Source organism: Homo sapiens, chromosome 6 (assembly GCF_000001405.40).
Source record: "Homo sapiens chromosome 6, GRCh38.p14 Primary Assembly".
Lineage (NCBI taxonomy): Eukaryota > Metazoa > Chordata > Mammalia > Primates > Hominidae > Homo > Homo sapiens.
In genome coordinates, this window is record NC_000006.12 from 144,771,321 (window position 1) to 144,786,527 (window position 15,207).

General features: G+C 37.8%; 1 protein-coding gene across 2 annotated transcripts in view; it reads left to right on the forward strand.

Annotated features, from left to right (window-relative positions):
* Positions 1–15,207, forward strand: part of UTRN (utrophin) — a 567,700-nt gene that overhangs the window by 485,986 nt on the left and 66,507 nt on the right. For both annotated transcript variants that reach the window (NM_007124.3, NM_001375323.1), the window contains 3 exons: positions 587–648; positions 2,970–3,044; positions 10,602–10,803. In NM_007124.3, the coding sequence (NP_009055.2) occupies positions 587–648; positions 2,970–3,044; positions 10,602–10,803 (339 nt within the window). The remainder of the gene's footprint in view (positions 1–586; positions 649–2,969; positions 3,045–10,601; positions 10,804–15,207) is intronic.

A 15,207-nucleotide genomic window follows, 5' to 3' on the forward strand; every position in this document is an offset into this window, starting at 1 on the left:
CGCTATGTTGCCAAGCTGGTCTCAAACTCCTGGGCTCCCACCTCAGGCTCCCAAAGTGTTGGGATTATAGATGTGAGGCACCACACCTGGCTAAAATTTATTATTAATATTTTTTATTTTTTTGAGACAGTGTCTCACTCTGTCACCCAGGCTACAGTGCAGTGAAACGATCTCGGCTCACTGCAACCTCCACCTCCCAGCTTCAAGCAATTCTCATGCCTCACCCTCCTGAGTAGCTAGGACTACAGGCACCCACCACCATACCTGGCTAATTTTTGTATTTTTAGTAGCGATGGGATTTCATCATATTGGCCAGGCTTGTCTCAATCTCCTGACCTCAAGTGATCCACCTGCCTCGGCCTCCCAAAGTGCTGGGATTACAGGAAGAGCCACTGCCCCTGGCCAATGTTTCAAATGTTAAGTAACAATTGGGCATTGGGTTTCTGAATGGTTGATAATGAGGATAATTTTGCATGTATTTTTAAAAATTTGAAAAAAATCATTTCTACTTGGGTATTTCGTTTTTGGCCTATATGAAGTTTTTTGATTTTTTGTTTATTTTTAAAATTTTACCTTTTTTTTCCAGCCATCAAACACAGACCACCTGTTGGGACCATCCTAAAATGACCGAACTCTTTCAATCCCTTGGTAAGTGTTATTAATAGTAATAAATTAACCTAAACAACTGAGAACCGGTTTTTTTTTTTTTTTTTTTTTTTTTTTTTTTTTTTTTAAGGTGGATTCTCGCTGTTGCCCAGGCTGGAGTGCAGTGGCATGATCTCGGCTCACTGCAACCTCTGCCTCCCGGATTCAAGCAATTCTCCTGCCTTAGGCTCCTGAGTAGCTGGGACTACAGGCGCCCGCCGCCACTCCCAGCTAATTTTTCGTATTTTAATAGAGACAGGGTTTTACTGTGTTGCCCAGGCTGGTCTCGAACTCCTGAGCTCAGGCAATCCACCCGCCTCGGCCTCCCAAAGTGCTCCCGTGAGCCACTGTGCCCGGCCGAGAACTGTATATTGTTAAATAGGAGCTAATCACCAGCCTTTCTTACATGGCATATTAATGTTAAAAGAATCATGTCATTGACATTTAAAAGTAGTTAAATTTCTAAGGGCAATGCAGTAAACAGGTATTGCCTTTCTTAGGAGAATTGTGTGGTTTGAAATCATGTGAGCCAAAAAGAGTTGATTTACAGGGAGGAATGTAATTGTAGTTTTTACCTCCTTCGTATTGAGTCATCTTAACCTTCAGCTTTGCACGCAAAAAATATATATAGATATACAATTACAATATAGCCAACTTTAATCCACTGCCTTAAATTTGCTTTTGGCTCACTTTTTATTTAGTACGTGCCATCAAATTAGCTCACCTAGTTTAAATTTGTCTAAATTGTTAAAAGCTAAATTCATTTTTATATAAAAATGCAAGAAAACACAGACGAGAATTCCGGTTTTGTTTTAATTTCTAGTGCAATGTGGCTTTCAACTTATTGTTTAACCTACTTCCTCTGGTTGGTCCAGCGGTTTTTTTAAGTTTTCTCTTTGGGTAGCTAAGGAGATGCTGGAGGGAAAAACAGCACCCGAAGCCTCCCTCTCCCATTTCAATAAAAAGGATGCCCCCTTTTTTAATCTCTTTAAATGTTGGGCTTCTGTGTGAGTGTTTTTTTTTTTGGTGGGTGAAGGGGCCTGCAAAAGTTGGACAAACAAAAGACATAGAACTGGTTTGCTTAGTTTGTAAAATGAGGGGGCAAATTTTGATGATATCTGAGTTTTCTTTTAACTCTACTAATCTCTGATACTCTGTCTTTAGGGGACAAAGAAAGAAATTACAATATCTATTGTTTCCAAAGAGTTGAGTATTGGTTGTAGGATCATTTGAACCAGATCTGCAAAAGGGCAGGAAAACCAAATCAATCAGGATGGGAGGAGCATAGAAATAAGATGAGCTCCATGAATAGTGAACTGGACAGTGTGGTTGGAAGAAAATGAAGTGTCCTTGGGGAAGATGCCCCTGGAGGAAAATCTCCTTTATTGGGAAAAAAAGGAAGGGCCCTCTGCCTACTGTGCAGTGCATTTAATAAGCCATGTGACAGCTGTGCTTTCTCTTCATCACCTTCCTCTTTTTCCTACCAAAGGGCTGAAAGGGGTGGTACCTTTTCTCACCCATCATAAGGGTCATGGTGACCCTCCTATAACAAAAGACAGGTCAACCAGAAAAGCACAAGAAATTTACTTAATCAAAGTTTTACCTGACATGAGAACCTTCAGAAGACTCAAAGAAAACAGGGAAAAGTGTCTGTTTTTACACTTAGATTGAGTGAGGAATGGATGACTGCATTGAATTGTGATTGGATGAAAGGGTATAATTTAATGATAATAGACTGAGAAGGGAATTCCAGCAAGGCCTATCTATTCAGATTCTTCTTGGCTTCTCCCTGCAGCATATTCCTTTCCTCTAGGGACAGGATACCTGTCACAGGAGAATCTTCAGGAGAGAAGGGAGAAGGTGACAGTGAACTTGCTAGATTTTATGGCTTGCTTTGGGGAAGAGAAGTTCTAGTTTTCATGACCCACCTTGGGGAAGGGGAATTCTGGTTTCTATTTATCACTTTGGAAGGAGAAAGAGGGTCAGGAGACAAGAGACCCAGAGGTCAGAGAGACCTTACTACTGAGGCCTTCCAGTCTCCTTCATTTCAAAGTACTCAACCCACCATGTTCTGAGCCCTGACACCTGTTGAAAATACTTTCTTAGAATTTTCTCTGTAGCACTGCTTTGAGATGTATCTCAACATGGTGCTAATGATCATTTAACTTTTTTCTTAAATACGTGTTGGGGAATTTGGGAGAAGACTTTTTATTTCAGGCAAACATAATATTTTTTCATCATCCAAAGTAACCAAATACATTCTGGGCATTCAATATATATTCAATAATAAGCCTATCTTCAAATTGTTTCTTTTTCTATTTCAGCTGACCTGAATAATGTACGTTTTTCTGCCTACCGTACAGCAATCAAAATCCGAAGACTACAAAAAGCACTATGTTGTGAGTTATTCTACCAAAGTTAATCAATCTGTTACTTGAATTGCGTTTTTTTTTTTTCCAAGAGGAAGATAAATGAAGAGGATGGAGTGTTTGCCAAGTTAATCTGGTCTTCAGTGTACCTCACTCAAGGAGTTGGTTTTGTTTCTATAAATGTTTTATTACTTGCCCCATCAGTGTGCAGTACTGAACACATGCCATTCTTACTTGGAGAACAAAATTAACCAAAACACAGGAGTAATGTAAAAAGCTTTTTCAAAAATTGTGCTGCCACCCAATTTAAAAGGATTAAATCAAAGAAAGTATTAAGTCATGTGTTTTCAGTACCTTTTGCCCATTTGGCAATGTAGAGTTCCAGTTTGTCTCAATACCACTATATATAAAGAAACACTAAAAAATCACATTCCTGATCTAAATTTGAACTGGCACCTTAACAAGTGAGATAAAAGGCTCTATTTTCTTTTAAATATATCTTGAGACATTTAGTATTATCAATGCATTTTTCCTGTGGAGGATGTGTTCAGAGTGGAATTCTGTGGCAGTCCTTTCATCAAAAGGATATTTCCTCCCGCAAAATAACCTAAAATTAAGTAGCAGTGTGAATACTTAGCATATAGATTTATGCTATCTGGATTCTATTTGTGGTTGTAGTTCTAATGATTGAGTCTACCCTAGGCCTTGTCAGATAGTTGATGTGGAAAGTGATATTTACCTGTTCTTTTAAGATAGGGTAAATTGAAAAGTTTCAAGTATTCTTCTTTGCTACCTTTTGTTAACTGTTAATATACGTCTAGGCAGTTCAGTGATGCTTTGAAAATTATGCTTTGAAAAATGATATGTTAAGGTTGAAAAATCTGCTCCTTGAAAGTCAATAGAAGTTAGCAATAAATTTTAAGCTGGCTGCACGAAGAATTGAGGAAAGAGAGGTATAATGTCATTGAGAAAAAATAGCAATGCAAAGCTTGAAAATAGGAAAAGCTTAAGCTATGTATGGAAGAGAAGTCTACAGGGCTGAAAGACACCTCCAGATGAGGCAATGCAAGGAAGAATGAGATGACCTTGACTTTTGCATAATCCACAGAGCCTCAAAGATAATTAGCAGGTGGTAGTAGTTGCAGCAAGTGTTGCAGAATTACCCGGACAAAGAAAAGAAAGCCACCACGCTCTGGCTACTGATCAGTATGTTGAGCGAAAAGAGAATAGGAAGTAAATTACGAACACACAAAAGGGATGTTTGGTCTGCGCAGGAGTCCATGGTGACAGCAGTTTTGAAAGAGGCTCAGCTGCACATCCAGGATCCAGTTGATGGGTCTGGAAGTTCTTCTCAGGCCTGATGAGCTATAAAATGAGGACAAATGACTCAGCCACAAAATTTCCATTGACAGAAGACTGCTTTTTGTCATTATGAACATGGTCCCAGTTTTCGACAACACTTATGGGTGGATAAGCATATTAACACATTTGGTGTTTTCTTCTCTTGGTTCTTTGGATTCCTGAAGAAAAAAACCCCCTCCTCAGCTCTTCCCCTCAAACCTGAGAGGAACAGAAGGGACGCTTCTCCAACTTCTAAACTAAACGAGATTGGTAATGACAATTAAACAACTAAATGACAGTTAGAAAAGGGCTAGATTGTATTGGATTTCAAGTATATGAGGTGCTTTTTTCAGAGCCAACTGACCTTCACTTTTCCTACAGCCTTCTCCCACTGCCCTCCAGCCAAGGCCTCTGGGCCACTCCTGGAGCTCATCAGTTTATTATTAATCTGCTTCTTCCTCTCCCTTCCTTTCAGTTTACTAGAAATACCCTGACCCTTTCTCTGCACTGGCTTGTAACCCTTTTTTCCTCCCAAATACTGTTAAAGATTTACCTCTTTTGGAAACATTTACAAGCTAATCCTACCCGTCTCCACATTTTTTCCCAGTAGTTTATGATTGCCTGTAATAGCAGGTTCTCTCACCTTAGTGACAAGTGCTTGCCTTTGTGTGCTCGAATAATGTTTGGTGGATTGCCCCATCTCCACTGTGAACTACTTTAGGTCATGGCTGTCTCTCATTATGTGCAAATCTCCACCCAGCATAAGGCAGAGGGCAGTGTCATTGTTCATTCATTTGTTGGGCTCCAAGATTGTGCAGGAGATAAAACACTATAAAGAGACTTGATTCTCACACTGAAGGAACTCATATTTCGAGAACGTTGCACATGGACCCAATGCCCTGCTTACAAAAGATTCCTGCTGCCCTCAGAATGGAATGGTCTTTGCCTGGCTCACCTCTCTGTCCACCTCCTTCCCTCTGCTCCACCGGGGCATCACCATTTCATCATCCACTTAGTGATAGAAATGGCAAACTCTGTATTCCATTCCTCCTGCCTAAAAAGCACTTGTCTTAGCTCTTTGTATAGGTTGATGCAAAAATAATTGCAGTTTTTGCCGTTAAAAGTAAGTTAGGGTATTTCATTAAAAGTAATGGCAAAAACCTCAATTACTTTTGCACCAACTTAATCCTTCTGTTCTTCCCTTGGCTGGGACACTCATTCCTGTAGGTCTCAATGTTGTCGATCACCTCTCTTTTAATGAGGTTTTCTATGGCTCCTCATAGAACTGTTCTTTTCCTTACATGACACTTCTGGTGCTTGGTTTAGGCACTAAGGCAGAGTGTCAATGGTAATTTTTAATATTCTGTTTATTAGTTATTGTTTGCTTCTCCATCATGGGATGGATGAGTCTGTGTTCGTCTCTACTTAGGACCTCATACAATTTCTGGCACAGAGCAGGGGTTGCTTAGGACACACTGAGTGAATGATTTGAGTTTGAAGGTTATATAGCAGTACTCCAGAAGATGTGTCCAAGGAGATTTATAGCAGTACTTTTCATAGTAAAACTCATTCAGTTTTGGCATATTTATAAATATAATACAGCAACAAAAATCAATGAGCTAGTAATCAGCATCAACATGATTTAATCTTAGAACTATAAAATTAAATGAAAAAATTAAATGGCAGAAAAAAAATGTGTACCACTCTGTTCCATTTATATGTAGTTCAAACCCATGCAAAACTAATGCTATATACACTTTTAAAAACTGAAAGTGAAATACAAAGGTTAATGGTTACCCCATAATTGTAAGAGGATGTAATTAGGCAGGATTCAAGGAGCTTCCAAGATAGTGGTAACATTCTGTTTTTTTCAGCTGTGTGATGGACTAATGGGTATTTGTTCTATTATTTTCTTTTAGACCACACATATGTATTTTCTGTTTTCCTTTGTATTTTGATTTTGAAACTTTATGTGATAGGTAATAGCAGAAAAGCAAAAGGGAAGTATGTTCCGAGGAGGGGGAGAGTCCTCTCATTATGAAGAAGAAGGCAGGCTTCCTTGATTAGTGGGCATATGAGCCAGGCTATAAAAGGCACCTGGGATTTAGGCATGGGGCAGTTAATTGGGGATAAGAAGGGAAGGAGTTATCTGTGTGAGAATTAAGGTGTAGATGGTGTTCAAGGAACATTAAGTTATAGAGTCTGAATGGAATAGCTTAGCTATTTTGTCCAATATCCAGAAATTTCCTTAAAGTTAATTTAGGTCAATTTGAACGTCATATTTTTCCTGAAATTCCTTTCGGTTTTTTTCCTCAAGTTCTTATTGTGTTGTATTTCATGTTTGGATATTTTTCGTTATAGAATGGGGAGCCATGAGGCATTTTCTGTATTGTGGGAGTTTAGAGATAGGGCCAGAAGTGGAAGTATGCTTTAGGGAATATCTAAGAAAGACCAAAGGGCAGAGAACAGAGAATGGGTAAATAGTTCAGGTGAAGGATGATCAAAGCTGAGCTGGCTGGGAGTTGTAGGAGGGGAGATCAGGGTCTGGATTTTTAAGGCTGCCTGAGGAAGAACTGATGACTCGGGGTATTGGGTAGTTGGTAAATTGTGGCAGGTAGAAGAAGGAAGGATGTTAGGATATTTCACGGTTTGCAGACTGGATTTCATCATGACAAGAAGGCCAGGCCTTTATGGGGAGAGGTTCCTGAAAGAGAATTATATAGCTCTTGTAGGGATCAGAGCAATGGGACATGGGTCAAGTGTTGAGGCAGGAGATCAGCAGGAGAAAAGAGAATCTGGAGCCATCCAAAGAGAAGCAATAATAGAAGTAAGAGGAGTGAGTGAGGGCCTCAGGCTCACAGAATGAAATGCCAGATGTGAAACCTTGAGCTCTGCCTATATTTCTGGGGAAGAGAAGATAGGGGAAATGCTAATAATAATAATAATAATAATAATAAAATAAAAAAATAAAGAATGGCCACATAGCTTGACACCTGGAGAAGTGTCACTGAAGCCCAAGATTGGATGCTTAACAGTGTTCATTGTTTTGCAGAACAGGAGAATGATGATGCATTTCTATTCCATCCCCTGTGCCTTGTATGTGGGATTAAAGAAAAAGTCAGAAAGTTGGATAGAAAATGATTATGCTGTTTGTTTCATTTACCACATGACTGAGCTGTCATTTGTCTCCCTTTGAAATGAGAAAATCTTAATCATAATTTTCTGTGATTTAAATGTAGTCAGTTCTTTAAAGGTACCTAAATGTGACACACTTCAGGAAGATTTACGCTTGACTTAGGCACTAAGACAAAGTGTCAGAGTAAATCACTAAAAATTGAAGACATGATAGTCTGTGGGATGTGGCAAATTAGTGTCACAGCTACAGAGTGTATAACCAGGGAGACTTCAGAAAGAAATGCAAGGACAGCCTGATGCAGGAAATGGGCTTTTTGGAATTTGGTCTGTTGTCACCTGATGCCATGTGGGGATCCAATAGCAGTGCTGTGTTACTGGCATAATTAATGTTGGAATTCAGAAAACTTACAGCCTTTTGGCCATATTTGAATATGTTCCTTGGTGTCTGTGGGGAGCTGTAGTTCCCTAGCTACTGCCCTTTATTAAACACTTTCCTTTGTCAGGCACTTTGCTTCTGCCCTCTAGAGGTTTACAATTGAAAACTGTGTACAGTTGACCCTTGACACCCAAAACTTAACATGTTAACAGTCAATTAACACATATTTGATATGCTATGTAATATATACTCTTATTCTACAACAAAGTAAGCTAGAGAAAAGAAAATTTTAAGAAAATAGTAAAAGACAAAATATATTTAATATTCACTAATTGGAAGTGATCATCATAAAGGGTCTTCATCCTTGTTGACTTCATGTTGATTAATCTGAGGGGGAGGAAGAAGAGGAGCAGTTGGTGTTGCTGTCTCAGGGGTAACAGAGGCAGAAAGGGTAGAGGAGAAAAGAGAGGCAGGCACGTTCAGTGCTTAACTTTAATTGAAAAAACTCCACGTGTAGGTGGACCCTCACAGTTCAAACTGGCGCTGTTCAAGCGTCAACTGTACAGGGCAAAGAAATGAGGTAAGAATTACAGTGAAAATTCCAGATGGTTCTTAGTTTTTTTCTGACACCTTCTCTAACTCATATGAAGCTTATTTGACTTATTTTTGTTATTAGCTTAAGTTTACCAATGATACATTTGGCATCTGAAGGAAATGGATTGGTTCGTTATCCAGACTTGTATGTTTTATGTTTATCTCTTTAAAAAAAAAAAAAGTCTTCCCTGTTGAGTTGTTTTTGAAATCATTTTACTCTGTATGGGTTTAAAGCAGTTCTTTTAATTTGTAGATAACTTAAAAAATAAATAATTCTGTGTTACTCAGACAGCTAGCATGGACACATTTCATACATGTCTTTAAAAATTCAAAATTATTAGTTATTCAGTGGTTACAAATGGATAAATACAAAGGAAGCTATTTGTTCATTTTAGTTAACTGTCAAAATATGTCATATTTTTTGAGAGAACAGTTTTTGCATCAGGCGAAGAGAAAGAAGTTGGTTTTATATGTATATAACCTTATTTTTTCTCTTTGCCTCTTATTTTTCATGCTAAAAGTTAAATATATAACATATGTGTATATATAACCAACTATTTTCTCTTTGCCTCTTATTTTTTTAATGCCAAAAAGTTAAAAAATAAGAAAAAATAAGATTAGAGTTCTTCTAGTCTAATTTTTTTATGCTAAAAGGTTAAATACAGAGACAGAGAAAGAATTTTATAAAAACTGATGTCTATGAGCAGACCTTAAATTAATGTGGACTCTAATTTTCCTTACTCAGATGTTTAGATTTAGAAGAGTCATCTCCACACTCAATAAATGTATAGATAGATACATGGTAGTTTGATAATCTGCTTTGTCTCTTTGTTTTCAGTTAGTGAATGAAAGACTTAAAATTGATTAAATTAAAAAAAAATTTGTCGTTTTCATCTAAACTCCTCCTTCGGGCCTTTGCGGGCCTCCCCTTGGGCAGTGTGTGCCTGGACCATGCATTTCTCCTGTCTGTTTCACTGCCGGCAAACACCACTCGTGTGTAAGTCACGCATCACCCACACTGCAGTCCACCATTCCTTAGAGCCTCTGGGCTTGAGTGAATTCTTGCCTTTTCTCAAGTACTTCTCTAAACCTGGAATTCTTTCCTCACTTCATGTGGATCTCTTGTATTTTATCCATTTTTCAAAGCCCATTTCAAATCGCACCTCTCCAGGGAGCCTTTTCCAGTTGTCTTTCCTCTCCTAGAAGTAGTAGCTCTAGCAGAAATTTGCGTATTCCTCTCATAGGGCATGTTTACTCCTCCTTTTAGTAAAGCCATCAGTATGTCTTTGAGAGCAGGGGCTCTGCCTTCACCTCCTGTGCACACCCTCCTGGCTCTAGCCCCAGCCATGCCTACCATAGATGTTGTACACATGAAGAGTAAGGATGGGAACAAATTTGTGAAGACCAATGGATGTGGGGGCTGTCTAGTACTTCTTCTTAGCTACAGGTCACCTCTGTGTCTAGAGTACTGACTGCTCTAGTACTTCTTCTTAGCTACAGGTCACCTCTGTGTCAGAGCATCATCGGAAGTAAACCAGGTTAGGGCCAGTTTGTGACAATCTTATAGATCGGGCTTGATTCAGCAGGCAGTGGAGAGCTGTTATTTTTCTATAAAACCTGTTTTTTAATATGGAGCATCTTCAGTAAATTTTGTATGTAATGATGTACATGATAAAAGACTGTTTAAGAACAATTAGTTTGGCTGTGATACAAAGAATGAAGAGAGCAGTGCACAGGCTGCTTGCAGGAGTTAAGATGAGGAGAGCAGTGTAATATTTGAGATGCGCTGCCATTTGGAGTAGATTGAGAGATTTATGCCTTGCTACATTTAAAAGCAAAAAGAGCCTGGCAAAGGGAAAGCCAGAAAAAGAAAGTAGGAATAATTAATATTCCAAAGAGCAAAAAATGAGATAAGATTGGGAAGCAACAGAGTTCAGATTCAAAAGTATGAAAGTGTGGTAAAATGTAAGAATAGAAATGTGTTTGTTTCTTTAAAAGCTGAAATTTAGCTAAAAAGGATAGATTCTTAAATTGAAGAATCAAGCTAAATACTTGAGACTAGAAATGCCTTTGTTGTGATGTTGTTATGTAATGTAATGTAATGTAATGACTGTAAACATTCCTTCTTCTCTCCTGGTTAGTGGATCTCTTAGAGTTGAGTACAACAAATGAAATTTTCAAACAGCACAAGTTGAACCAAAATGACCAGCTCCTCAGTGTTCCAGATGTCATCAACTGTCTGACAACAACTTATGATGGACTTGAGCAAATGCATAAGGACCTGGTCAACGTTCCACTCTGTGTTGATATGTGTCTCAATTGGTTGCTCAATGTCTATGACACGTAAGTTTATATTTTTTCTCATTAAAATACGATCACTGAATGAAATATGTTAATAGAAAATGTCTGATTTTTAAGTGAATTTTTTAATAAGTGCTTTCAAATTACTTTCCCAGTGGAAATATTTATGTTTGTTGTTGAAACTGAATGATTTTACAAATCATTGAGCTTCTTAACAAACAATAGAACAGAAAAGAATGTACATCTTTCATTTTAAAATGTTGCTTCAATTTACAAAGACTGTCAAATTTATAGTATTCTTTGCCAAAATGCTAGGGGAAACAATATAGCTAAGTCCTACTTTCTTCTTGTTTCATAATGTCTCACAGTATTTCTTTTTTCAAAATAAAAAATCTTCTGTTTATTGTTATGAATTACAGTAATTTATTAGCTCATAATAATCTGCTCTACAATCTTTGTAATCCAACTGAAGAGTGATTTGAATGGCCATGAACGAGGTAGTCTTTTAATATTTGCTTTATTTGCATAGTGGTTATGTGTGTGTGTATATATATATAATATATATATATATGGTGTTTTAAATAATTTATGCTACAGGACACTTTAATATCTGTCATTTAATTAGGTACTCACTGTTCATAAAGCACACTCTCAACTCCCAGCATAACTCATTTGCCATTAATTTGGCCCTTTTGAATACGACAGTACATTTGTGAAATAGTCAGTTCTAGAAAGACCTGCTGTGGGCTGACATTTCTGAAACATTAGGAATTACTCATTGTTCTGGTGGGAGGTTAAAGTATGCAAAGATGAAATAAGAAAACTAGAACTGGGCTGGGCACGGTGGCTCCCGCCTGTAATCCCAGCACTTTGGGTGGCCGAGGTGGGTGGATCACCTGAGGTTAGGAGTTCGAGACCAGCCTGACCAACGTGGTGAAACCCTGTCTCTACTAAAAATACAAAAATTAGCCAGGCATCGTGGCAGGTGCCTGTAATCTCAGCTACTTGGGAGGCTGAGGCAGGAGAATCTCTTGAACTCAGGAGGCAAAGGTTGCAGTGAGCTGAGATCGTGCCACTCCACTCCAGTCTGGGTGACAGTGCAAGACTCTGTCTCAAAAAAAAAAAAAGAAAAGAAAACTAGAACTGTTGTTTTGCCTCTCATGCCCAAAAAGTTATTATCTATTAATTAGCTACATGAAAACTTCTATTTACCAACCTTTGATTTAGAGATAAATAAGATAGATGATCATTCATAAATGCACACATTCAGGAGCTGATTGGTTCTGTATAGGAAGTAAATAATGATGACAGTAGCTTTAGCAATGAGCTGACTAAAAATCTGGATTTTTTTTCTATTCCTTTTAGTTTACATGTAATAACTGTACATATTTATGAGGTACACAGTGATATTTCAATACATGTATACAGTTTGTAAAGATCAAATCAGGGAAGTTAAAATATCCATCACCTGAAATATTTATTACTTCTTTATGTTGGAAACATTCAGAATCCTCTGTTCTATCTTTTGAACCTGTGAAATAAATTATTGTTTACTATATTCACCCTACAGTGCTATAGAACACTAGAACTTATTCCCCCTACCTATATGTACTTTTGTACCAATTAATGAAACTTTCCCTGTCCTCCTCTCTCGATTTTTTTTAATTAGAGAAGTATTTTATCTTTTAGTGTTCATAAATATCATAACAAAGTCTTTCTAAATAATCAGCCACTGTGTGCTTGAGGGCTCTTAAGAAACCTGCTGAAGCATGAGTCTCAGTTACCATAATGAATACGGGATTTGCGATATCTCTGTCTGATATTTTTTAATACATTTCATTTTAATGCACATTTTAAGTTCTCCTAGGGTAAAATATTACCATTAGCCTTAATCCACCATTAAGTTGCTCTTCAATAATTTGAATCCTCAGAAGATGCTTTTTCATAGTAAATTCACCAAAATAGTTGGTCAAAGGTGTTTTAACTACAAAACCTGTAACTTAACTTTTACATCCCAGGAAAATTGCTAAATTCATAGAATACTTAGGAACTCCATTCAGTCCTATAGAATATGGTAGAGGTATACATCTTGAACTACATTTTAAGGAAGAACTGGAGAAGAGGTTCAGTTGCCTTATATTGTCCATGGCTCTGACACACTGTTTTGGTTTTCTGGGGCTGCCATAACAAAGAATGATAGACTGAATGGCTTCAACAAGAGAAATTTATTTCCTAACAGTTCTAGACACTGAGAGTGTGAGATGAAGGTGTCGGCTGGGTTGAGTCTTTATGGAAGCCACTCTTTCTGGTCTGCAGATGATCGTCTTCTCCCTGTGTCTTCACATGGTTTTTCCTTGTCTGATGTGTGCTCATCTCCTCTTCCTCTAAGGACACCAGTCATATCAGATTATGACCCACTCTAATGACCTCATTTTAACTTAATTACATCTTTAAAGACCCTATCTCCAAATACAGTCCCATTCTGAGGTACTAGGAGTTAGGACCTTAACCTGTAAATTTTAGGGGACACAGTTCAGTGCATAATGCACACATATGCTCTTTTCACTGGACAGCCCAAAGGGAATAGTGCCACTTGGTTGGGAGGAAGCAGTGTGTGAAATGCCGTGATTCATATTCTAGGGAGTTAAATGTTGGCACAGTTCCACTTGCCTCCATCAAATGGGAATATGTGGGAAATGCTACAATTTGCCACTGTTTCTCATTTAGAAAGACAGTATCTTGAAATTTCTCATTTTTCATTTTAAAGGAAAAAAATCTTTCAGGACTAACCTCCCTTCTATGAAAAAGAAAGATGGCAAAGACCATGCTGGATCAGAATGGTGCCCATGCAGTGTAGCTTTCTATCTTGGAGAGAGTATTGGGGATTAATCTATGGAAAAAACAGTTATTCTTATGACAGTAATGTCAGACGGCCAGAGCTGGTTGCCCAGGTTTCTCTAACAACCATGATTTATTTATTAATCTAAATAATAGTTATTAACTCTTTTCAACCAATAATTTTCTTTGAGAATCAGATAGAAATTACTATCTACCCTCCAATTAGGACATTACAGACTCATACATCTGTGAATCTGAGGAATGGTACCTTGTTCTAACACTTCTATTCATTCAGCCGTCCTGACATTCACTCACTAATCATATACCCGTGACTGCCTTCTTTCCTGGCATGTGATACAGCCAGAACTGGTGTTTTCAGCTTCAGCCAGCTCTTGATAATGAGTGATGCACACACAGATCACAGAATTCTCAAAGTAGAAGGATTTGGGGATCTTTAATTCTGCCCTTTTCTCTTTACTAATTGAAAACCTTGCCCGTTGAGACAGGAGAATTTATCTACCTATTGCATATTAGTCATAATTAAAGAACTAGTGTTCAGTCTTTTGATAATCATTTGATTATTCTTACTATATTTCTATATCTAGGAAACATAGTACTTTATTTTAAGTGAACAGTTTTTTTCCAATTTTAACATGTACCCACCTCCTGATATTCTGAACTTTGTAAAAAAAATTTATTTTCATCTGTCATGGATGACAAGAATTCAAATTTTTGGTTCTGGTTGCTGTGTGAGTTGGCAGCTACTTAACATTGGCATCTTAATTTTTCATCTGAAAAATTGAAATAAAAATATCCACTCTGCTTACCACACAAAAGGTGATTATGAAGGGCAAATGAACTAATATATGTAAAAAGTACTTTATAAAGATAAAATTGATTTCATTTATGAATTTGCAGCCTCAGTCATCTTACCAGATTAAAAGGTCTTAATTTCACAATCTTCCTTCTGGATTTAATGGAAATCAAAAGTGTTTAAATCATGATATAAAGCAATAGTCTGTAGTACTTGGTTTAAATGTGTTTTTTTCTACCAAAAATATTAACCTCATTTGCAGTAGTGTCATTTGTTCCACTATTCCAAAGATGGTATAATTTTATAAAGTAAATGTCTTTATAGTTAAACCAGTTTAAAGAGTTGCCTATGAAAACTATCAGGAGACTAAATATGTCAACACTGGGCTATGTCACTCACTAATATATTTTACTGTCTCCCTCTTGTCTCTCACATCCATGTAGCTTATTTACATCAGTGTCCTTTATTGTCTGGTCCCACGTAACCTGTACAGTTCAGTCAACCAGTTAACCTTGATGCAAGTCTCTGACCCACCTGAATGCATCTTATTTGTTTGTTTTTGTTTTTGTTTGAGACAGAGTCTCACTCTGTCGCCAGGCTGGAGTGCAGTGGCATGATGTCAGCTCACTGCAACCTCTGACTCCCTGGTTCAAGCGATTTTCCTGCCTCAGTCTCCCGAGTAGCTGGGATTACAGGCACGCGCCACCACGCCCAGCTAATTTTTGTATGTTTAGTAGAGACAGGGTTTCACCATGTTGGCCAGGATGGTCTCAATTTCCTGACCTCGTGATCCA